Source organism: Homo sapiens, chromosome 1, assembly GCF_000001405.40.
Source record: "Homo sapiens chromosome 1, GRCh38.p14 Primary Assembly".
NCBI lineage: Eukaryota > Metazoa > Chordata > Mammalia > Primates > Hominidae > Homo > Homo sapiens.
The window spans coordinates 53,086,769-53,110,389 of record NC_000001.11 but is presented as its reverse complement, the minus strand read 5'-3'; the positions used below and the strand labels follow the sequence as shown (position 1 = coordinate 53,110,389).

The 23,621-nt window shown below is 54.9% G+C and overlaps 1 protein-coding gene across 7 annotated transcripts in view, besides 5 other annotated features; it reads left to right on the top strand.

Moving 5' to 3' along the window:
• Positions 1-23,207, top strand: part of SLC1A7 (solute carrier family 1 member 7) — a 55,456-nt gene extending 32,249 nt beyond the window's left edge. Inside the window, exons 4-11 of one of the 7 annotated variants that reach the window (NR_109858.2) lie at positions 4,616-4,658; positions 6,822-7,044; positions 16,830-16,929; positions 17,603-17,836; positions 19,612-19,778; positions 20,456-20,590; positions 21,411-21,513; positions 22,163-23,207. Coding sequence is in view for 6 of the 7 variants with exons in the window: in NM_001287595.2 (NP_001274524.1) it covers positions 4,616-4,658; positions 6,822-7,044; positions 16,830-16,929; positions 17,603-17,836; positions 19,407-19,778; positions 20,456-20,590; positions 21,411-21,513; positions 22,163-22,381 (1,429 nt within the window). In the remaining variant the exon portion in view is untranslated. Of the gene's footprint in view, positions 1-1,755; positions 2,463-4,615; positions 4,659-6,772; positions 7,045-16,829; positions 16,930-17,293; positions 17,434-17,602; positions 17,837-19,406; positions 19,779-20,455; positions 20,591-21,410; positions 21,514-22,143 lie in introns of those variants that run through there. The other 6 variants (NM_001287597.2, NM_006671.6, NM_001287595.2 and 3 more) reach the window with 6 other exon arrangements.
• Positions 3,942-4,441: an enhancer, noted in NCBI's record as "H3K4me1 hESC enhancer chr1:53571621-53572120 (GRCh37/hg19 assembly coordinates)". NCBI's record gives its function as "activates a minimal SCP1, AML or CMV promoter by ChIP-STARR-seq in naive H9 embryonic stem cells {active_cell/tissue: H9 hESC(naive)}" and the evidence as "EXISTENCE:reporter gene assay evidence [ECO:0000049][PMID:30033119]".
• Positions 3,942-4,943: a biological region, named in NCBI's record as "H3K4me1 hESC enhancers GRCh37_chr1:53571119-53571620 and GRCh37_chr1:53571621-53572120".
• Positions 4,339-4,546: a silencer, noted in NCBI's record as "fragment chr1:53571516-53571723 (GRCh37/hg19 assembly coordinates)". NCBI's record gives its function as "represses an EF-1alpha promoter that drives an FKBP-Casp9 reporter gene in an ReSE screen in K562 erythroleukemia cells {active_cell/tissue: K562}" and the evidence as "EXISTENCE:reporter gene assay evidence [ECO:0000049][PMID:32094911]".
• Positions 4,442-4,943: an enhancer, noted in NCBI's record as "H3K4me1 hESC enhancer chr1:53571119-53571620 (GRCh37/hg19 assembly coordinates)". NCBI's record gives its function as "activates a minimal SCP1, AML or CMV promoter by ChIP-STARR-seq in naive H9 embryonic stem cells {active_cell/tissue: H9 hESC(naive)}" and the evidence as "EXISTENCE:reporter gene assay evidence [ECO:0000049][PMID:30033119]".
• Positions 14,967-15,504: an enhancer, noted in NCBI's record as "H3K4me1 hESC enhancer chr1:53560558-53561095 (GRCh37/hg19 assembly coordinates)". NCBI's record gives its function as "activates a minimal SCP1, AML or CMV promoter by ChIP-STARR-seq in naive and primed H9 embryonic stem cells {active_cell/tissue: H9 hESC(naive and primed)}" and the evidence as "EXISTENCE:reporter gene assay evidence [ECO:0000049][PMID:30033119]".

Here is a 23,621-nt window from a genome sequence, read left to right as displayed (position 1 = left end):
CCTCGCTCTCACCGTTTCTTGGTCAGAGAGCGGGGCTACAGGGAGAGAACACAGGCGTCCTGGGACAGGAAACCAGAACCTAGGAGACCTGTGGCCTCATCTCCACTCTGATAATAATAAGTTACTGTGTGGCCCTGGGCAGGCCAGTTCCCCTCTCCAGGCCTCAGTTTCCCCAGTGATTTTCAAGATCCCGTCTAGCTCTGTGGTTCTGAAACACAAAGGCCTATGAGCCAGTGAGGAGGCTGCAGGGCATGAACCAAAGCTTCTGGAGGTGGGTTCTGGGAGATGAGGTTGGGAGGGCTGGGCAGAGCCCAACCTTGAAGACAGGAGGCCCAGGTTGAGGGGCTGGCTGTTAGGCTTTGGGAATGGGAAGCTGGTGGGTTTGGGAAGGATGGATTAGAGCAGGGTGGAGTGGACAGAAGGTGAGCAGAGGCATGGATGGGGTGCCCTGGGAGGAGCACAGTCACTTCCTTTCCATTCAGCTCCGCTGTATTCAGCTGCTGCTCTGGGTGAAGACATTGTGCTGGGAGCTGGGAAGCAAGTACAAATGCCCCTCACGCCCCCACCCCAGGGCTGCCCACCATCTTAGGACAGACGGACAAGTGGGTGCACTGACAGCCACTCCTGATGCTCTGAGAGGCTGTGAAGGAGATGGGGACACTGGCAGTGAGGGACCAGGGGCCTCCTGACCCTTGCCCTGGCCCAGAACAGGTGCCTACCAGGTGCTGAAGACTGAACAAAAACACTGATGACCAGGAAGAGAACTGAGAACCAGGGCAAGTGGGACAAATGGAAAGTGGGAGCCCACTGCGTGGGGACATAAGGCACACCACAGGGGCAAAGATCTGCATCCTTGTCTCAAAGATGACTCCAGAGGAACACAACAGGCCATGTCCCTGGATGACCCTCCAAGACAGGAATTCATTTTCCAGGGCTCCGGGGGGCCGCTCCAGAAGGCTGGCGCCTGCTCACAGTGCAGCACGCAAAACAGAAACCCAAGCAGAGCACTAATCAGGTCTGGCCCCTTCTCTTTTTTTTCGAATCTTATTAAAACACCACAGAGATTAAGTAATGACTGGGCTCTATTTATAGCTCCCAACTACCCTCTCAGGGATTGGAGGAAGCTTCCAGGAGCTGTGCTTGGGAAGGAACAATTCCCACCTTTAGGGCTTGGTTTGGGGACATGTTATTAGGGGTGGGTTTGGAAGCATCTCGGTGAGAATTTGCAAGTAGCAGGTGAAGAGGGGAGCTGAGAGGTGGACTCTGGCTCTGCCTAGAAAACGTGCAGGGAGGCACAGGGCAGAGTGTGTGGGTATTTGATAGGCATGGCTATTAACGTCCCCAGGCACGTTCTGTGTTTTATGTAGCTGCCACCAGGAGCACGGACCTCATGGGACAAGCAGAAAAGTCTTCCCGTGAAGGCTCAAAGCCAAAAGAAAATGTACATTTCCCCATTTAATAATCAAAGGTATAATTCTTGATTAAAATCTGCAGGATAAATTCATTGGTTATTAGTATGAGCACACACGAGTCAGGACTTGCTTTTGGCTGCCAGATCAGCAGAGGCTTAAGTAAGGTAAGGTTTGCATTTGTTCCTGAAGAACAGTCCAGAAGTGGGAGGTGGGCAGCTGGCAGTCACCAGGGTCCCAGGCCCTGCCCTCCTGTGTGCCGTGCCATGCTTAGCACCTGGCTTTCATCTGAGTCTCATGGTCCATGAAGGTTGCTCAAGCTCTAGCTATTATCCCCATGTTCCAGGCAGAAAGAAGAAAGTTGGAGGAACGGACCAAAGGGTCCTGGCTGAATGGGCACCTCCTTAAGAGTTTTCCAGGAATCACCACCCAACGACTTCCACTCACCTCTCGATGGCCACCCCATTAGCAAGAGAATCAGAGCTTGATGGCAGGTCCCATTTGGTCCCCACAACATAATAGGACTTCTGTTAAGGAAGGACGGGAGAATGGAGACTGCATAGGCAACTAGCTGTCCCTGCCAAGGCCCACATTTAAAATGATTGTAATTGTAAAGGAAGTTGTAAAGAAATGTCTATATAGGTATAAGTTCCATTTGGCTTCTTACGAGCTTCCAAATGTTCTCCGTGTGTGTAAACTGAGTCTTGAAAGAGGGGAAGAGGGTTACCGAGGACAAGAGTGAGTGGGAGGCGACCCAGGTGGAGGCAGTGTGAGTGTGGGGCGGCAGGTTGGAGGAAGAGCAGGCATGCAACGGAAGCCTCTTACCAGATGCTCACCTCAGAGTTGGCATTTCTCACAAGACACACTCCTAGAAGGGGACTGTGAAGACAAAGATACAAATGCTTTTAGAGAAAGGTTGCTGCCAGGACCATGTGAGGGTGCCCATCTCACCAAACCTCCCACATTGTGCACTGTCATTTGAAAAATACTTTGTCAGTTTGACAGGTGGAAATATCTTGAATTTGTTGATGAAACTAAACATTTTAAAAAGCATTTTTGGCCACTGACTTTTCTTCTTTTGTAACACGAATTGCCTGGTAGTATCTTTCCATCGTTTTCCTGTCGGGTTTTTGTGGTCTATTGGTTTACGCAGCAAATATTTACTGAGTGCTTGGTATGTGCCGGGAACTCTTCCCGGGGCTGGAGACACAACAGTGAACAAACACAGAGCTTCCGCCCTCCAGGGAGCTGATATTCTGATGAGAGGAGATAGTGAAGGTAGAAACCAGGCCAAGATTTGTAAAAGCTCTTAGTAGATTTAGGATGGTAGTGCTTGGTCACGCAGTCTCTCCAGCTCGTCACTTGCTTTGTGGTTTTATTTGTATTGCAATCTGTCTTAGCTTCTCAAGCATTCAGCTTTCCATTTTAGCATAGTTTTAGGTTTACGGAAAAGTTGTAGACAGTACAGAGAGATCCCACACACCCTTCACCTGGCCTCCCCTGATGTTAGCGGTTTACATAACTAGGGTACGTTAGTCAAAACTGAGAAATTAAATTGGTACAACACTATTAACTAAGTTACGGATCTCGTTTGGATTCCATCAGTTTTTCCACGAATGTCCTTTTTCTCTGTTGCAGGATCCAATCCAGGATGCTATGTTGCGCTTAGGGATTTCTTTATTTTCATGTAGTAAAATCTATTGATTTATTGCTCATTTTGTTCTTAGAGAGTCATTTCCTATACTGAGACATGATAAGATCTCAACCTATATTTCTTCTAGCTTTTTATGGTTTCTTTGCCTTTTTTTTTTTTTTTTTTTTTTTTTTAGTCAGAGTCTCACTCTGTCCCCAGGCTGGAGTGCAGTGGTGCGATCTCAGCTCCCTGCAACCTCCGCCTCCCGGGTTCAAGCAATTCTGCAGCCTCAGCCTCCTGAGTAGCTGGGACTACAGGCGAGCACCACCACACTCAGCTAATTTTTGTATTTTTTAGTAGAGACGGGGTTTCGCCATGTTGGCCAGGCTGGTCTCAAACTCCTGACCTCAGGTGATGTGCCCACCTTGGCCTCCCAAAGTGCTGGGATTACAGGCATGAACTACTGTGCCCAGCTGGTTTCATTTTTCAAAGACTTATTTATTTCTTTAAACCTTTTGGAATTTATTTTGGTGTAAGCATCTAACATCTATTTTTTCCAAACCGTTGGTCAGCTGCACAGCATTCTATAATGAATCCTTCGTTTCCTCACTGATTTGTGAAACAACTTTTATCAAGTACGAAACACTTAGAGGTGCTAGTTTCTGTTTCTAGGCTACAGCTTACATGGACTTTTCCATCGACTGCTGTGTCAGTATCACAGTTTGACAGTTACTTTTTTTTTTTTTTTGAGACGGTGTCTTGCTCTGCCGCCCAGGCTGGGGTGCAGTGGCGCGATCTCGGCTCACTGCAAGCTCCGCCGGGTTCACGCCATTCTCCTGCCTCAGCCTCCTGAGTAGCTGGGACTACAGGCACCCGCCACCGTGCCCAGCTAATTTTTTGTATTTTTAGTAGAGACGGGGTTTCACCGTGGACTCGATCTCCGACCTCGTGATCCGCCCGCCTTGGCCTCCCAAAGTGCTGGGATTACAGGCGTGAGCCACCGTTTTTTATCTAGTAGGAAAGACTCCTCCACCTTTAGCTTTATAATAAAATATGTTACTAAGAATAATGAGCCCACCTATGTGCGAGGTCCCGTGTTAGGCCCCACAGATAGGACATGAACAACCAAGTCCCACCTGCAAGGCGGCCACTATATGGGGGAGGCAGACAGGTGAGCCAGTGACCGCACGGTGGTGTGGCGGAGCAGCAGCGACCTACACACAGAAGGGCCGCAGGGTCTCGTGGGGCAGTCAGGGAGGGCTGGACAGAGGAAGAGGTGCTTGATCTGTGGTAGATTTGAGTAGTTCACCAGACCAAGAGGCAGGCAGGGCATTCCGGGCAGAGGGAACAGTGTAGACAAATGCCTGGCTCTGGAAAGTATGTGGCACAGTCTGGGGGCGGCAGGTGCTGGCGCTGTGGAGTGTCCATGATGTAGTGGGTGAGACTGCAGAGGAGGCTGGCCTGAGGAAGGCCCGACCACCAAAGGAGATGTCCAGATGACCCCAAGGCCACAACCCCCAGGGCCCTCCTGTCCTGGGCTCTGGAATTTTTCAATTGCTGATTCTCTTCCTAGGAACATGTTCCCAGCCAACCTAGTAGAAGCCACATTCAAACAGGTGAGTGAGTCTCTGGGCAGTGGAGGGGAGGGAAGGGGCAGCAGGCAGGAGGGCAGGCAGCAGGGCTAGTGGCATGGCTGGGAAGTGACAGGTGTGCTGGCCAGTCACGCTGTCTGCTGGAGGTGGGATGCTAGAGGGGAGGGTACGCTGGGGAACCTAGATCCTTAGAGACCCCCATGGCCACATCCCTGTCCTGGGTTCCAGTTTTCATGATGAAAAAGTGTGGGGGTGGAGAGAAGCCTTCACTGAGTGCCTGCTCTGCTTCCACATACACCATCTCGCCCATCCACACAGTAACTCGGCACTGAGGTAGGATGAGCCCCACTTCCTGAAGAGGAAACTGAGGCTCCGAGGAGTCAATGATTTGCCCAAGGTTATACCACTAGTAAATGACAAAGCCAGTAGGTAAACCCAGGCCTATCTTCTTAGCCTGTTTTCTCTTTCTTTTTAAAGTAATCATTTTTCCCCTAACAAGAATAATAATGATGTTCACTGTAGAAAATTAGGAAAATACCAAACAATATAAAGTAGAAAACAAAAATCATCTCTAGTTCTAGTACATAGTCCCTGGTAGCAGAGGATATATTTCTGGTCTTTTTTCTTCTGCTTATTTTTAAATAATATTATAATCATAGTGCATATACAGTTTTCATCTTGCTTTTTTTCACTTCCATTATATCCTGAGCATTTTCCCCGGTTATGAAATATTTCTTAAAAGTACAATGTTTAGTGGTACTACAATGGCCTGTGATAAGGCTGCGCTGTAATTTATTTCCCACTCCCCCTTTCAGTGTTCCCTTAGGTTGTTTTCAAAGTTTTTCCTTCGTCGAAATTGTGGTGAATGTCCTTGTGCTCAGTCTTTGCCTGCCCTTTGAATAATTTCCAATTCTTTTTCCCTTTCTAAACTGTCAGCTGGTTGGTTGACTTAATCCAGCAAGGGTTTCCTGAACCCCTTTCCTGGGCTGGGCCCTGTGTTGAGCCTGGGGACACAAAGGAAGTGGCTGAGGTATAGAGAGGAGGCTTCTGAATAGGGAGCTGTGAAAGCTTTGGCATATCGCCGCGTCTCTCCTGACATCCATGAAATAAGCCAGATTGTGAAGGGGACTGAATGCTAGGCTAGGGAGTTTCTATTGTAATTGGGAATCATTGAGGGTGTGAGAGATAAAGAGAAAGAATGTTGCTCTACTCTGTAACTCTCTGGAATGCCCTTTCTCTTTTGGCAAACTCCTACCCATCCTTCAGGACTCAAGTCAAATGTCCCCTTCTTTGTGAAGCTAACTCTTTCAGCCAATTAGTCACTCCCTCCGCAAGGCAGAAATCATGTCAGGTTCATTTGTGTATCTCCAGCAACCAGCACAGAGTGTTCAACGTGATGATGACGATGATGGTAGCAGTAATGCTTCCATGGGGCTTAACATGTACCAGGAACTGTTGTAAGCACTTTATATACATCGTCTCATTTCATTTCATGCAGTAGATGCTATCACGGTCCCATTTTACAGAGGAGGAAAAGGAAGCAGAGACTTCAGGTCTCATATGTTTCCTGAGTGGTTGGCCTTATCGATGCAGTGATGTTTGAGGGGAGAGGAGGCTCCCTTTTTGGGCTCCCAGTACCTGAGGGATGATGGGGTGAGACCCATGAATGCTCTGGGGGCAGAGAGGGAAAGGTACGTGGCTCAGGAAGGTCATTTTCTTGTGCATGGGCTTCATCTCATTAACAAGGCTTGGGGCAGGCTATGCTTCTTCAAAAAGAAGGTCCAAGTTTCCACCTGGTGGGCAGCAGGGCCAGCAGGCCACCAGGTGGATGGATACTGGATGATTGGGAGGGGACAGATGGGTGGATAAAGGGTTACTTGGGTGGATAAGGGGCTGGGCAGGCAGTTAAGAGGGACCCAGATGGGGTGATGAGGTATAGAAGTAAGAAGAGGAATGAAGGCAGGAGGCAGCGTGGCTGGGTGGTGTGGTGGTAGAGGAAGGAGTTGCAGCTTTCTTTGGGTAAAATATTGATAGCAATCCCTGCTCTGCCTGCCTCACAGGGTTACTGTCAATCAAATAGGATAGGAATGGATACAAATGTGCCTTCAAGATGCTATTATTGTTGTCGTTAATATTAGTAACAACCCTTGGCCCTGACTTCTCTCTGGGTGGGGTGTCACCCACCAGTACCGCACCAAGACCACCCCAGTTGTCAAGTCCCCCAAGGTGGCACCAGAGGAGGCCCCTCCTCGGCGGATCCTCATCTACGGGGTCCAGGAGGAGAATGGCTCCCATGTGCAGAACTTCGCCCTGGACCTGACCCCGCCGCCCGAGGTCGTTTACAAGTCAGAGCCGGGCACCAGCGATGGCATGAATGTGCTGGGCATCGTCTTCTTCTCTGCCACCATGGGTATGTGCTGCCCACCTGCCCAGCAGTGCCGTGGAGCCGGGCCCCCAGCCCCTCCCAGCAGCCTGCTCCTCCACCTCTTACTGAGGTCTGGGGAGAATGCTGGAGAGGTTTACTGTGAAAAACTGGAAATATTCACCACACCTGTTTATTTAAATCCTTCGCCTCCCCACCCCACCCCAGGGGCTTCCCCCTGGCACCTCCCCCTCAGGCCCGTCTGGGCCATTTCTTAGGCCCGCAGCTGGCATCCCTGCCACACCCTTCCCTTTGCTGCCCTCCTCTGGGATGCCAGGCCCCTCACCTATGCAAGCCCCTTGGAGGCCCGCACCTTGGTTTTTAAATTTTGTGTTATTTTTCTTAAAGATGGGTCCCAAATTATACAAGCTTCAGACCCCACAAAGCCTGTGGAAATGTCCTGCCTGCCATCCCCGACTCCTCCACTGGGTTTTCTTGTCAAGGAAAAGACCTCACCAACCTCGTTCATGCAAAAACTCTAGGGGTGACTTTCTACCTCGTCCTCTGCCTTGGCCCCCACCTTTGCATCCGGTCGGGTCTGCCCCCAAAGTCCCCTCCAAGCCGTGCGTTTCCTTCTACCCCGCGTCACTGCCCGGGTCAAGGCCGTGTGGTCTCTCGCCTGGTTCCTGTGAAAGCTGCCTAGAAAACTTCCACGGCTGTCCCTGCTGGTGTGTCCAGCTCAGGAGGTCACAAGTCTGACCGTGCTCTGCCCATTGCCCCTGGAAAGGGGCCGAACCCCTAGTGCCGGCTGAAAAGCCCCGTGAGACTGGCCCGTGTGCTCCTCTCCGCACAACCCTCAGCCCGGCTGCTCTTGCCACTCCCCCTCCACGTTTGTCATCTTCAGGGTGCTCCCCACAAGTGCCATGCCCTCAGGAGAGTCCTCCGCAGACTAGGCCGAGTGCCCCGAGCTACACTGCCTGGTTACTCTGTGAGCACTAGACTCGATTGCAAGGATATCATTGCTTGCTGTCTGCACAGCCATGACCAGCCCCATACAGGCTGACGGGCTTGTCTCCATCCACCCCAGAGCCCACCGCTGCCGTGGCTACAGCAGGCACTCAGCAGACCTGGTAGGGAGATGGGTGGACGGCTGGGTGACAATGGGTAATGGAGCTCTTCTCATCTGGGCCAAAACGCCAGGTGTGCAGAGGGGCCGGGGCCTCGGTGACCCAAGTGTGTGAAACGAAAATGTCTGAAAGTGCCTCTCGGCACATCTGACAAGCAGTCCCCAAACTCAGCCTTTCTCAGGGCTGGGAACATAAGAGAAGGGCATCTACTGGCAGAACAAAAGAACCGGAGACCCTTGGACTCAACTCGCTGAGCGTTCGCTGCGCATGTGTAACTGTCCGTGCATCTGTGAACATTTGTGTGAGTGTACTGAGGCAGGTCGTATGAGGGTACCGAGGCAGGGCGTGTGAGTGTACTGAGGTGGGACATGTGAGTGTACCAAGACAAAGAGTGTGAGTGTACCGAGGCGGGCGTGTGAGTGTACTGAGTGTGCGTGTGAGTGTACCGAGGCGGTGTGTAAGTGTACCAAGGTAGGGTGTGTGAGTGTACCGAGGCAGGGTGTGTGAGTGTACTGAGGCAGGGTGTATGAGTGTACTGACACTGTGTGAGTGTACCAAGCTGGTGTGAGTGTACCGAGACATGGTTTGTGAGTGTACCAAGATGAGGAGTGTGAGTGTACCGAGGCAAGGTGTGTGAGTGTACTGAGGTGGGGTGTGTGAGTGTACTGAGGCGGGTTGTGTGAGTGTACCGAGTAGGCATGGGTGTACCGAGGCAGGGTGAGTGAGTGTGACGAGTCAGGGTGAGTGTACTGAGGCAGGGTGTGTGAGTGTACCGAGGTGGTGTGTGTGGGTGTTTCGAGGTGGTGTGAGTGTACCGTTGTGAGATGTGTGAGTGTCCTGAGGCAGTGTGAGTGTAACAAGGCAGTGTGTGTGAGTGTAATGGGGCAGTGTGTGTGAGTGTACCAAAGCGGGGTGTGCGAGTGTACCGAGGAGGGGTGTGTGAGTGTACCGAGGTGGGGTGTGCGAGTGTACCGAGGTGGGGTGTGCGAGTGTACCGAGGTGGGGTGTGTGAGTGTACCGAGGCAGTGCGTGTGGGTATGTGAGTGTACCAAGGCAGTGTGAGAGTACCAAGACGATTTGTGTGAGTGTTCCGAGGCAGGGTGTGTAAGTGTACTGAGGCGGGGTGTGTGAGTGTACTGCGGCAGTGTGTGTGAGTGTAACGAGGTGGTGTGTGTGAGTGTACCAAGGTGGTGTGTGTGAGTGTACCGAGGCGGGTTTTGTGAATGTACCAAGGTGGGGTGTGTGAGTGGACAAAGGCAGGGTATCTGAGTGGACTGAGGTGGTGTGTGTGAGTGGACCAAGGTGCGGTGTGGGAGTGTACCGGTGCAGGGTGTGTGAGTGGACTGAGGTGGGGTGTGTGAATGTATTGAGGCAGTCTGAGTGTACCAAGGCAAAGTGTGTGAGTGTACTGAGGCGGGGTATGGCAGTGTACCGAGGTGATGTGAGTGTACTGAGGCGGGTGTGTGAGCGTACTGAAGCAAAGTGTGTGAGTATACCAAGGCAGTGTGTGAGTGTACCAAGGCAATGTGTGTGAGTGTACCGAGGTGGTATGTATGAGTGTACACAGGCAAGGCATGTGAGTGTACCGAGGCAAGTCGTGTGAGTGTACCGAGGAAAGGTGTGTGAGTGTACCGAGACGGGTTGTGTGAGTGTACCGAGGCAGGTTGTGTGAGTGTACTGAGGTGGTATGTGTATGTGTATTGAGGCAGTGTGTGTGAGTATACCAAGGTTGGGTGTGCGAGTGTACCGAGGTGGTGTGTGTGAATGTACCGAGGCAGCGTTTGTGAGTGCACCAAGGCAGTGTGTATGAGTGGACCGAGGTGGGACGTGTGAGTGTACTGAAACAAGACGTGTGAGTGTACTGAGGCGGGGTGTGTGAGTGTACCGAGGTGGGGCGTGTGAGTGTACTGAGTTGGGTTGTGTGAGTGTACTGAGGCGGGGTGTGTATGTGTACTGAGGCGGTGTGTGTGAGTGTACCAAGGTTGGGTGTGCAAGTGTACCGAGGCGGTGCGTGTGAGTGTAGCGAGGCAGGTTGTATGAGTGTACCAAGGTGGGGTGTGTGAGTATACCAAGGTGGGGTGTGTGAATGTACTGAGGTGGTGTGTGTGGGTGTATGTGGATGTGTGAGTGTTCTGAGGCGGGGTGTATGAGTGTGTCGAGGTGGTGTATGTGAAGGTATCAAGGTGGGGGTGTGTGAGTGTACAGAGAGGCAAGGTGTGTGTGTACCAAGGTGGTGTGAGTGTACCAAGACAAGGTGTGTGAGTGTACTCAGATGGAGTGTGTGAGTGTACTGAGATGGTGTGAGTATAACGAGGTGGTGTGGTGTGTGAATGTACAGAGGCATGGTTTCTGAGTGTACTGAGTTGGGGTGTGTGAATGTACCAAGGCAATGCGAGTGTACCAAGGTGGTATGTGTGAGTGTACTGAGGCAGGGTGTGTGAGTGTACCAAGGTGGGGTGTGTAAGTGTACCGAGATGGTGTGTGTGTGTACTGAGACAGGGTGTGTGCCAAGGTAAGGTGTGTGTGTAACAAGGAGGGGTGTGAGTGTACCGAGGTGGTGTGTGTGAGTGTACCGAGGCAGTGTGAGTGTACTGAGGCAAGGTGTGTGAGTGTACTCAGACGGGGTGTGTGAGTGTACCAAGGTGGTGTGAGTATACTGAGGCAATGGGTATGAGTGTACTGAGGTGGTATGTGTCAGTGTACCGAGGCAAAGTGAGGGTATTGTGGTGGGGTGTGTGAGTGTACCAAGGTGGTGTGAGTGAGTGTACTGAGGCGGTTGAGTGTACTGAGGCGAGGTGTGTGAGTGTACCGAGGCAGGTTGTGTGAGTATACCGAGGCGGGCTGTGTGAGCGTACTGAGGTGGTGTGTGTCAGTCTATCAAGGCAGGGTATGTGTGTGTACCGAGGCGGTATGTGAGGTACTGAGGCAGTGTGAGCGTACCGAGGTGGTGTGTGTCAGTCTATCAAGGCGGGGTATGTGTGTGTACCGAGACGGTATGTGAGGTACTGAGGCAGTGTGAGTGTACCGAGGCGGTGTGTGAGTGTACTGAGGCGGTGTGTATGAGTGTACCAAGGCAGGTTATGTGAGTGTACCAAGACTCTGTGAGTGTACCGAGGCAGCGTGTGTCTGTACCGAGATGGTATGTGTGAGCCTACCGAGGCGGTATGTGTGCATGTACCGAGGCGGGGTGTGTGAGTGTACAGAGGTGGGTTGTGAGTGTACAGAGGCAGGGTGTGAGTGTTTTGAGGCAGTATAAGTGTAATGAGAGGTGGTGTGTGAGTGCGAGGCAGGATGAGTGTACTGAGGCAGGGTATGTGAGTGTACCAAGGCAGTGTGAGTGTAATGAGGTGGAATGAGTGTACTACGGTGGTGTGGGTGTACCGAGGCAGTGTGAGTGTAATGAGGCAGAGTGTGTAAGTGTACCAAGGCGGTGTGAGTGTACCAAGGCAGGGTGTGTGAGTGTACTGAAGCAGGTTGTGTGACTGTACCGAAGAAAGTTGTGTGAGTGTACTGAGGCAATGTGAGTGTATCGAGGCGGTATGTGTGAGTGTACCGAGGCCAGTTATGTGAGTGTACTGAGGTGGTATGAGTGTACTCAGGCAGAGTGAGTGTACCGAGGTGGTGTGTGTGAACGTACTGAGGTGGTATGTGTGAGTGTACTGAGGCGGTGTGTATGTGTGTACCGAGGCAGGGTGTGTGAGTATGCTGAGGTGGATGGTGTGAGTGTACTGAGGCAGGGCATATGAGTGTTCTGAGGCAGTTTGAGTGTAACAAGGGTGATGTGTGAATGCATTGAGGCAGGGTGAGTGTACCAAGGCAGGGTGTGTGAGTGTACTGAGGCGGTGTGAGTGTAACAAGGTGGAGTGTGTGAGTGTACCAAGGTGGTGTGACCGTATGTGTGTACCAAGGTGGGGTGTGTGAGTGTAGCAAGGCGGGTTTTGGTACGAGTGGAGTGTGTGTGTGTACCGAGACAGGGTGTGTGAGCCTACCAAGGCAGTGTGAGTGTACCGAGGCAGGGTGAGTATACTGAGGCGGGGCATGTGAGTGTACCAAGGTGGGGCATGTTTGTGTATTGAGGCAGTGCATGTGAGTGTACAGAGGCGGGGTGTGTGAGTTTACCAAGACGTGGTGTGTGTACTGAGGTGTGAGTGTACCGAGGCAAAGTGAGTGTACCAAGGTAGGGTGTGTGAGTGTACCAAGGCAAAATGTGTGAGTGTACGGAGGCAGGGTATGTGAGTGTACCGAGGCAGGGTTTGTGAGTGTACCGAGGTGGTGTGAGTGTACCGAGTTGTGGTGTGTGAGTGTACCGAGGCATGGTGTGTGAGTGTACCGAGGTGGGGTGAGTATACCAAGGTGGGGGTGTGTGAGTGTATTGAAGCAAGGGTGTGTGAGTGTACCGATGCAGTATTTGTGATAGTACCAAGGTGGGTTGTGTGAATGTACTGAGGCGGAGTGTGTGAGTGTACTGAGGCGGTGTGTGTGAGTGTACTGAGGTGCTGTGTGTGAGTGTACCAAGGCACTGTGTGTGACTGTACCAAGGCAGGTGGTGTGGGTGTACTGTGGTGGGTTGTATGAGTGTACTGAGGCAGAGCGAGTGTACTGAGGTGGGATGTGTGAGTGCTTGGAGGCAGGGTTTGTGAGTGTACCGAGGCGAGGTGTTTGAGTGTACCGAGGCAGTATGTGTGAGTGTGCCAAGGTGGTGTGTGTGATTGTACCAAGGCGGGTTTTGTGATTGTACCAAGGCAGGGTGTGTGAGTGTACCGAGGTGGGGTGTGTGAGTGTACTGAGGCAGGTTCTGAGTGTGCCAAGGCACTGTGTGTGAGTGTACCGAGGTGGTGTGTGTGATTGTACCAAGGTGGGTTGTGTGAGTGTTCCGAGGCAGTGTGTGTGAGTGTACCGAGGGGGTGTGTGTGAGTACACGGAGGCAGGTTGTGTGAGTGCACCAAGGCAGTGTGTGAGGGTACCGAGGTGGGTTGTGTGAGTGTACCAAGGCGGGGTGTGTGAGTGTACCGAGAAAAAATGAGTGTACCGAGGCAGGGTGCGTGAGTGTACTGAGGCAGGGTGTGTGAATGTTCTGAGGTGGTATCTGTGAGTGTACTGAGGTGGGGCATGTGAGTCTACCAAGGCGGGGCGTGTAGGTGTACTGAGGCGGGTTCTGTGAGTGTGCCGAGGCAGTGTGTGTGAGCGTACTGAGGCAGTGCGTGTGATTGTACCGAGGCAGGTTGAGTGCACCAAGACAGTGTGTGTGAGGGTACCAAGGTGGGTTGTGTGAGTGTACTGAGGCGGGGTGTGTGAGTGTACCGAGGCAGGTTATGTGAGTGTACCGAGGTGGTGTATGTGAGTGTACTGAGGGGGTGTGTGTGAGTGTACCGAGGCAGGTCGTGTGAGTGTATCGAGGCAAAGTGAGCGTACTGAGGCAGGGTGTGTGAGTGTTCTGAGGTGGTATCTGTGAGTGTATTGAGGCAGGGTGTGTCAATGTTCTGAGGCAGTATCTGTGAGTGTACCAAGGCTGGGTGTGTGAATGTATCAAGGCGGGGTATGTGAGTGTACCAAGGCACTGTGTGTGAGTGTATTGAGGCGGTGTGTGTGTGTACTGAGGCAGTGTGTGTGGATGTGTGAGTGTACCGAAGTGGTATGTGTACTGAAGTGGTGTGTAAGTTTACCAAGGCAGGGTGTGTGAGTGTATCGAAGTGGAGTGTGTGAGTGTACTGAGGCATGGGGTGTGAGTGTACTGAGCTGGGGTTTATGTGCGTGTGAGTGTACCGAGGTGGAGTGTGTGAGTGTGCTAAGGTGGGGTGTGTAATTGTAATGAAGCAAGGTGTGTGAGTGTACCGAGGCAGGGTGTGTGAGTGTACCGAGGCGAGGCGTGTGAGTGTACCTAGGCGGGATGTGTGAGTGTACCAAGGTGGTGTGAGTGTACTGAGACAGGGTGTGTGAGTGTACCAAGATGGGGTGAGTTTACCGAGACAGTGTGAGTGTACCGAGTCGGTGTGTGTGAGTGTACAGATGCATGGTTTGAGTGTACCAAGGCAGGGTGTGTGAGTGTATCGAGGCTAGGCGCGTGAAAGTAACAACGTGGGGCATGTGGGTGTACCGAGGTGGTGTGTGTGAGTGTACCAAGGCGGGGTGAATGTACTGAGGTGGGGTGTGTGAGTGTAATGAGGTGGGGGGGTGTGAGCATACCAAGGCAGTGTGAGTGTACTGAGGCAGTTGAGTGTACCGAGGCGAGTTGTGTGAGTGTACTGAGGTGGAGTGAGTGTACTGAGGCGGGGTGTGTGTGTACCAAGGTGGTGTGTGTGAATGCACCGAGGTGGTGTGACTGTACCAAGGCAGTTTGTGTGAGTGTACCGAGGCGGGTTGTGTGAGTGTACCGAGGCGATGTGAATGTACCAAGGTGGTGTGAGTGTACTGAGGTGGTGTGTGTGAGTGTACCGAGGCAGTGTGTGTGAGTGTACCAAGTCGGGGTGAATGTACCGAGGTGGGGTGTGTGAGTGTAACAAGGTGGAGTGAGTGTACCGAGGCAGTTGAGTGTACCGAGGCAAGTTGTGTGTGTGTACCGAGGCAGGGTGTGTGAGTGTATTGAGCTGGGGTGTGTGAGTGTACCTAGGCAGGTTGTGTGAGTGTACTGAGGCGGGTTTAAGTGTACCAAGGCAGTGTGTGTGTAACGAGGCGGGGTGTGTGAGTGTATCGAGGCAGGGTGAGTGTACCAAGGCGAGTTGAGTGTACCGAGGCGGTGTGAGTGTAACGAGGCAGAGTGTGTGAGTGTACCGAGGCGGTGTGAATGTACTGAGGCAAGGTGTGTGAGTGTACCAAGGCGGGGTGTGTGAGTGTACCAAGGCAGGGTGTGTGAGTGTACCAAGGCAGGGTGTGGCTTACTGTGTATGCTCATGCCTTTATGTGCCCACATCTGCCAGTGCCTGTGTCTGTGTGCACGTGCATCTCTGTGTCCCTGCATCAGTGTGTGCCTGGCCTCTCCGTGCCTGTGTCTGTGTGCACCTGTGTCCCTGTGTTCCCCCATCAGCATGCGCCTGGCTTACCTGTGCCTGTGTCTATGTGCACCTGCGTCTGTGTGTGCTCATGCCTGCGTGTGCCCACATCTGCCTGTGCTCATGTCTGGGTGCAGCTGCATTCCTGTGTCCCCGCATCAGCGTGTGCCTGGTCTTTCCGTGCCTGTGTCTGTGTGCACCTGCTTCTGTGTGTGCCTGTGCCTGTCAGTGTCCACATCTGCCGGTGCCTGTGCCTGTTGGTGCAGATACCAGTGTCTGCCCGCGTGTGTGAGTGAGCACACTAGCACAGCGGCTCCGAGCAGGGCTTTCTTTGGTTCCCTCAACCCAGCCTCCTTTCCCCACCCCATCCCTGGGATGTGGCTGGTGCTAAGGTCCTGCTGGCCCTGCCGTGAGGGAGCCCCCGTGCCACACTAGGGTTCCATGCACACTGGCTCCCAGCAGCCAGTCCTCGGATGCCCCTGGGAAAATCCAAATGGGCCTGAGGAGGGGCAGGAAGCCCGTGCGTGGTGGTGGTGGAGCCCGGGGAGGGCGGAGCCGGCAGGGGAGTCTGGGTCTGCATCAGCCAGGCGGCAGGAAGACAGGCGGGCGGGGTAGGCCCAGGGTCACCTCCAACTCCAGCCTCTCCTACCCACCCTGGCAGGGCCCTCACCTCACTCCGTCACCACGGGGTAGCTGCTCCATGGACTGTGTGGCTCAGGCTTCTCAGGACAGGGAAAGAGCCCTTCTCTGGTGTCCCACAGGCCAGGGTTTGAATCCCACCCTGCCTCCCTAGCTGAGCCCCAGCACCATGACAGTGGGCCTCATGAGGGCAGCTGTAGAGAGTGCTCTGCTCCCCACGTCGGTCTCACCAGGAGGTAGGGCAGCCACTCAGTCCCTGTTTCAGGACTGGCCTGACAGAGCTCACCCCACGGAGCCGTTCCCACACCACCCTTTCCTGGTGTGTGCGAGCTGGGGAGGAAGGCCTAGAATGCCGGGGGAGGCGCCAGGAGCATCAGGAAAGGCCCTAGTCCTCACTCACCATTGACCACTGTGCGTCTAACATGCTCCAGCTAAGGAGATGCAGTTCTTGCTCTCGCTGAGCTAACCTCGCAGAGGAGACGGGAAAAAACCCAGACAGTTATGTTGTAATAGGCCCTAAGAGGTGAGATATTGAAGAATAAATGGGAGTTTGCAAAGGGGATCGGGGATGGCTTCCAAGCTGTTTGGAGAGCGGGCAGCCAGTGCCTGGGGCACTGTGTAAACGGCTTGCGCAAAGGCCCTGAGGCAGTGAAGAGCTGGACTCCCTCCTTCCAGAAACTTAAAGAAGGCCAGTGGTGCCAGGGCACAGTGAGATGGGCAGGAGCAGGAGGGAGAGGCAGGCAGGGCCCACTCGAGTGGGGCTGAGGCATCGAGCTGGGTGAGGCAGCGGGGAGCTTGTCATGGCCTAAGCGCACAGCGAAGCCAGGGGTGCACTTGGCAGGGAGCACTTTTATCCTGAGGAGGTGACATTGGCTGCTGCGTGGAGGAAGGTGAGAGAGGAGGACGTGAGAGCACTGTGGGATCGGTAGTAGAGTGGAGGAGGAGAGAGGGAGAGAGAGAGTGGGGGGAGTGGGGGGAGTGCTGGAGCATCAAGGCTGCTGGGAAGCCAGCCATGCTGAGACCCATGTGGGCCTGTGGGTCTGTCCCTGCTTTACCACAGCACTGTGTCCCTGACCCGCAGGCATCATGCTGGGCCGCATGGGTGACAGCGGGGCCCCCCTGGTCAGCTTCTGCCAGTGCCTCAATGAGTCGGTCATGAAGATCGTGGCGGTGGCTGTGTGGTAAGCCTCCTCATTTACCCACCTCACCCCGGCCAGCCCTGGGTGGATGGAGGGAAGACAAGACCCCACCCTCTTCTCCCGTAAAGTGAGCAGAAAGCTGTGCCCAGGCTCAGCCCTGGGCCGGGGCCTCCGGAGCTACATGTGTTTCCATGGGTCCCCCAGCCCCAGCCAGGCCTGGCTCCGGCCCTGGGCCTGCCCCTTCCAGCCTGGTCTAAGAGCTCTGCCCGGCTCTGCTGCTCTCCTGGGCTCAGTTTCTCCATCACATGGAGCCTTATCAGCTCAGCTTTTGGAGAAAGGAAAGCTGGCGGTAAGGACTAGCCCACAGTTCAGAGTCCTCGGCCCACAGTTCAGAGTCCAGGAGCTCAGTGGGGAACGCAGAGGGAGGGCTGCCCAGGCGCACTGTGTAGACTCTGGCGTTGTTGGGCCTGAAATGGGGGCCTCCTGAAGGCAGGGCGGGGGAAGGAGTGGCAGAGGTTGTCTGGAGCTGGGGCGGTGGAAGTAACGGTATGAAGGACGCCATGTGCTGAGCCTGGGCCGGGCACCTTGGCAGTCTCGCTCTGTCCTCGCAGGAGCCCCAGGAAGCTCAGGGGGAAGGCCGCGCAGCGATGCGGGGCTGGGGCCGGGGTGTGTCTGCCTGCCTGGTTCCTGAGCCTGGCTGCCCCGCCGCCCCCAGGTATTTCCCCTTCGGCATTGTGTTCCTCATTGCGGGTAAGATCCTGGAGATGGACGACCCCAGGGCCGTCGGCAAGAAGCTGGGCTTCTACTCAGTCACCGTGGTGTGCGGGCTGGTGCTCCACGGGCTCTTTATCCTGCCCCTGCTCTACTTCTTCATCACCAAGAAGAATCCCATCGTCTTCATCCGTGGCATCCTGCAGGCTCTGCTCATCGCGCTGGCCACCTCCTCCAGGTAGCCCCGGGGACGGGCAGGACGGTGGGGAGCTGGGAGGGGCTGAGCCCTGTCCGTCTGTCCAGCCATCATTGGTTCATAGCCACAGAACCACCAAAACGCCAGTGTGGCCCACCTCACAAATGCGGGGACGGCTGGTGCTGGGGTAACAAGACTGACGTGGGGGACTTTTGGCCTTTGTCGAGGCCTCTCCTTCCCCCACGGCCCCAGTCCTCAAGCTCACTGAGTCCGCATGGGGGCGGCCTCGACGCGCCAGGGCAGACAGCACAGTAGAGTCAGTGGGAAATCACATTGGCAACGCACTGCTGCTGCCTTTTGCCCCACAAGGTGCTTCTCCTGGAGTCGGGCCCTGTGTTGCTCTAGGAGCTCGGCCTGTCCACTGCCGCTGGGATGTCCTGGCTGGGTGCCCTGTCACAACCTTGGCAGTGTCCCTAGACCTCAGGGACTTGAGCCATGGCTCTGTCACTCACTCGCTGTGCCTGGGCATTGCTTTCCTCATGCACAGACTGGGGGAGACTCCAGCTTCCAGCTCACAGGGTTGCAGTGGAGGTCGAGCCCCTCCTTGCCAGGCTGGGCCAGGTGAACCAGCACTTGGCCTTAAGGATCCCAAACCTCAGCCCAGTGCAGAGACCTCAGGAATTTAGAGTTGTGCAAACCATGTCGTTGGTGGAGGGGGCAGGAAGGAAGTGGTCCCTTATGGAGCATCTAGTGCTGTGAAGGCAGTTTGGCTCTCCCCATGGCAAGTGTCTGAGCTCCACATTAAGGGAGTCGCAGGAACTTAAGCCACATCTTTCTGGCACTGAAGGCCTCACTCTTCCCTCTAGCCCTCACTTGGGTCTCAGTTTTTCCATCTGTAAAATGCCCTGCAGGCCTCTGTACCCAGCAGTCATATGACACCCACCCCTGGCAGCAGATGCACCTCCTGCAGGATTCAGGAGCAGACCCCAGTGAAGAAAAGCCCAGGAGCCATTGCCAGGAACACCCTCCCGCAGATAGGGGGTCAGAGGGCAGGACAAAGCCCCAAACATGCCAGCTCCCATGCCAGGGGCCAAGCCAGCCAGAGCCAGCAGCCCCCTGGCCATCTCCTGCCAGCAGGAACCGCAGCCTCAAGCCCAGCAGGTCTGGAGCTCCTGAGAGGCTCTGGCGAGTAGAACCGGCCTTCCAGGCAGAGGCCCGGGGGAGAGGAAGACACAGGGGCCACACCGGCCTGTTTTAGTCCCAGCACTGCCACTGGGAACTCTCATGACAAACATAGTAATAATAATAGTCATGGTCACCATTGACTGAGTGGGTACAATGGGCCAGGTGCTGTCCAAGCCCGTAGTCGTTTAATCCTCCTAGTAGCTCTGTGACCCAGGTCTTTTTGGGACAAAGATGCTGAGGCACAGGGTTCAGGAACTTGCCAGGACCACTTGACAGGAGGCTGGAATCTAAGCCCAGACAGCCTGGCCCAGGGCCCTGCTGCTCAGACCTCCATATCCCTCGGCACAGCAGTGTGACATGGGTCAGCCCCGCCCTCTGGGCGTCAGCTTCCTCATCTGTAAAATGCACCCAAACACCTCCCTCATAGGAAGAACCAAGTGAGAGCACTGCAGTGCCCGCGGTCCTTACCTCCTGCCGGAGCAGCGCTGCAGAGGCACAAACACTCCTGGCGGGGTGGCTGCCTGGGGAGGGGTGAGCTTCCCGACAGAGGCCCCAGCCATCCTGGAGGAGGGTGCTGGGCAGACACCGGCCCCTCTAACCGTAGCTCAGCCACACTGCCCATCACCTTCAAGTGCCTGCTGGAGAACAACCACATCGACCGGCGCATCGCTCGCTTCGTGCTGCCCGTGGGTGCCACCATCAACATGGACGGCACTGCGCTCTACGAGGCTGTGGCCGCCATCTTCATCGCCCAGGTCAACAACTACGAGCTGGACTTTGGCCAGATCATCACCATCAGGTGCACCCTGACACTGCACCTGGGTGGATGGGGCGGGGGCTGGGGGCCTTGGGGATTCCCAGGCTCCCAGACTTGAGGGGTATCTGAAGCGAGCGAGCCTGGGCTCGGAGCACAGCAGGCAGAGGGCCAGGGCTGGGAGCTCCGAGCCTGGAGGACAGCCCGGGAGGGAGGGCATTGCTGGTGGCCACAGGGCGAGCGGAGGCCAGGGACAGGACTCAGGACCTTGGAGAGGCCGCCCGTGTGGCAGGAGCCAACGAAGGGGTGCTGGGATGCGGCTGAGGCTGACGGAGGCCTCACAGCCCAGCCAAGCACACAGGTCTGACCCTGGAGGCCAGGCCCCAGAGGCAGGCAGGCAGAGCCATGTGGTGGTCAGTCAGAGTCCCTGGGCAGCCCCATAGCAATATAGCTTCCTGGAACCCACAGAGGCACAGCTCCAGACACAGGTGTTTGCACAGTTCCCAGGGATTCTCCTGAGGCCAGGAATGGGGGTCCATGGGGCTTCAGGACTGTGAGGAGGGACTTGACCCCGAGAGCTCCCTGGTGTGGCATTCCTACCCACCCCCCGCACCAAATGGCTGTCCCAGAGGCCCTGACACTCAACCTCTTCCTTGGAGCCAGACCCTGACAATGCACCCTGCCCCTCCTGCTGCTCCTCTTCCCCTTCCCACCCCCTGCAGTATCACAGCCACTGCAGCCAGCATTGGGGCAGCTGGCATCCCCCAGGCCGGCCTCGTCACCATGGTCATCGTGCTCACCTCCGTGGGACTGCCCACCGATGACATCACCCTCATCATTGCCGTTGACTGGGCTCTGTGAGTGGACTTTGCCTCTAGCTCTAGCCCTCTGGGAGGGGCTGACTTCAGGGTCAGCAGGGATCAGGGTGAGCGGCTGAGTCCCTTCCCCAGGGTAGAAGGCTGGGGACTGCCCCGCTTGGCACTGTGGGAGTGCCCTACTCATTAGCACAGGCCTGGCTGCATAATTTGTGGGGTCCAGTGTTCAAAAATGAAAATGTGGAACCCAGTCCAAAAACTGTAAAGGCCAGGCATGATGACTCACGCCTATATGTCCCAGAACTTTGAGAGGCCATGGCAGGAGCATTCCTTGAGCCCAGGAATTCCAGAGCCCAGCCTGGGCAACACAGTAAAATCCCCATCTCTACTAAAAATTAGAAAAGAAAAAATTAGCTGGGACTGGTGACATGTGCCTGTAATCCCAGCTATTCAGGTGGCTGAGGCACGAGAATTACCTGAACCTGGGAGATGGAGGTTTCAGTAAGCCGAGATGGCGCCACTGCACTCCAGCCTGAGTGACAGAGCAAGACTCTGTCTCAAAAAACAAACAAACAAACAAACAAAAAACAAACCTATAAAGAATTTCAAGACAGAAACAGCAGAGGATTAAACCAAACCTAACCCTTCTAAGCATGGGGACCTGTGGAACCCACAGCTGCATGCCAAGAAGCTGCTTCAATGATGCCAAAGGGTGGGCTTGGGAGGAGCCAGGAAGCCATCTGGCTGCAGGCTTTGCATGACAGCTGGTCACCGGCCGTGCTGTACTGTGCTGGGTTGAGCACTGCCCTCTTCCAGCTCCCCTTCAAGTGCCCACCACTCACCCCCAACCTTGGCTCACCAGGGACCGTTTCCGCACCATGATTAACGTGCTGGGTGATGCGCTGGCAGCGGGGATCATGGCCCATATATGTCGGAAGGATTTTGCCCGGGACACAGGCACCGAGGTGAGAGCAGTGAGATCCAGAGGCTGCCAGGAGGGTGGAGCCACGCAGGGTGGGCAGGGCACCAGATCTTCCACCAACCAGCTCGGCAGCCTCCAGCCAATCCCTCCCTCCATGCCTCTGGGCCTCGGTCTCCTCATCCGTTACAGAATGACTGATTCCTCTAACATCTATTTATTGAGCACCCGCTGTGGCTGGCGCTGATATAGACACAGGAGGAACAGTAGAACAAGATATGATAAAATTCCCCGCCCTCGTGTCGGGATGGTCTGTCCAGTTTAGCCAACATGTGAGCATTTGTAGGTCTGTGCAGGCTGTGTGGGCTTCAGGCTCCTTCTACAGGCAAATGGAGAAGGCTGTCCCCACATCATGGGGAAGAAGCTGAGGTCAGGCAGGGGATCCACCAATTCCCCAGATGGACCCTGTGGATTAAGTCCCCTCCTCTACTAAGCCAGCTCCAGTGGGAGGCAGGACGCTTGGGAACAGGAGCCCAGGGAGGCCGTGACCTGCCGAGGTCACACAGCGTGTCTGCAGGAAAATCCATCTTGTGGTTCCTAGCCCTGAGCTCATTCTGCCCCACTGGCCCTCAGTCCTCCCTCGTATCTAACCTTGGTCCCTCCTGCTGCTACAAAGACCTGTTTCCCTTCACCAGAAACTGCTGCCCTGCGAGACCAAGCCAGTGAGCCTCCAGGAGATCGTGGCAGCCCAGCAGAATGGCTGTGTGAAGAGTGTAGCCGAGGCCTCCGAGCTCACCCTGGGCCCCACCTGCCCCCACCACGTCCCCGTTCAAGTGGAGCAGGATGAGGAGCTGCCCGCTGCGAGTCTGAACCACTGCACCATCCAGATCAGTGAGCTGGAGACCAATGTCTGAGCCTGCGGAGCTGCAGGGGCAGGCGAGGCCTCCAGGGGCAGGGTCCTGAGGCAGGAACTCGACTCTCCAACCCTCCTGAGCAGCCGGCAGGGGCCAGGATCACACATTCTTCTCACCCTTGAGAGGCTGGAATTAACCCCGCTTGACGGAAAATGTATCTCAGAGAAGGGAAAGGCTGCATGGGGGAGCCCCATCTAGGGAGTGATGGGCCCGGCATTGCCTGAGGCCCCGCTGTGACAGTTTCCCCGGTGTGAGCCCGGTGAGGGCGGCAGGCAGGGGTTATCCGGCCCCACTTTCTGGATGACAGACTTGAGGCTCTGAGAGCTGAAAACACTTGTCCAAGGTCTCACGTTAAGGTCAAGACACTAACTCAAATCTTTCAAGCCCCGCCTCTCCTCTTGGAGGACAGGGCAGCCTGCAGCTGTGTCCAGGCCCAGGCCCCACCCCATAACAGGTGGCCTCAGCCACACAGTTCTCCCCAAGGGGAGCAGCCCAGGGCCAAGCCCCGCTGCCTTCCCCAGGCCACAGTGCGTCCAGTCTCCTGTCCTGCCACGTGTCTTTTGCAAAGCTCCTTGGATGTGGAGACAGATGTCTTTACTAGAGCTGAAAGGCCCCCTTGACACATCCAGGCCAACCTCCCATGGAATAGGTAGGCAAGCCAGGACTCCGGGAAGGAGGTGCAGCCAGGATGCTCTGGTGGAGCTGCCGATGGGGCCCTGGTGTCAGAACTCCCCAAAGGCCTGTGCGTCCAAGTGGAGTCAGGTTTTCTATTCCTTTCTGTGTTTGCAAATTCAGTGTTAACTAAATAAAGGTATTTTGTTTTTCACTTCTTGTGGGCTTCAACACCTTATGCTAGCCAGCAAATATGATATTAGCTACTGGGCTAATTAATACAGGCGGCCAGAGTGCAGACGGGCCTGTCTGGGCAGCCAGGATATGGGCGGGCCTATGCAGGTGGCCAGAATCTAACAGGCTTGTCCATTTGGCTGGAGTGTAGACAGGTCTGTCTAGGCTGCCAGTGTGTGGACAGGCCTGTATGGGCAGCCAGAGTGCAGAGAAGCCTGTCCTGGTGGCTGCAGTAAGGACAGTCCTATCTGAGCTGTCACATGCAGAAGACAGAGTATAAGCTAGCCTACCCAGGAGCCTGTCTCAATAACCACAGGGCAGCTGGGCATCGTCCAGTGTGGACAGACCTCTCTGCCATGGTCTAGGCTCTGCTCTGCAGGCAGGGCCTTGAGAT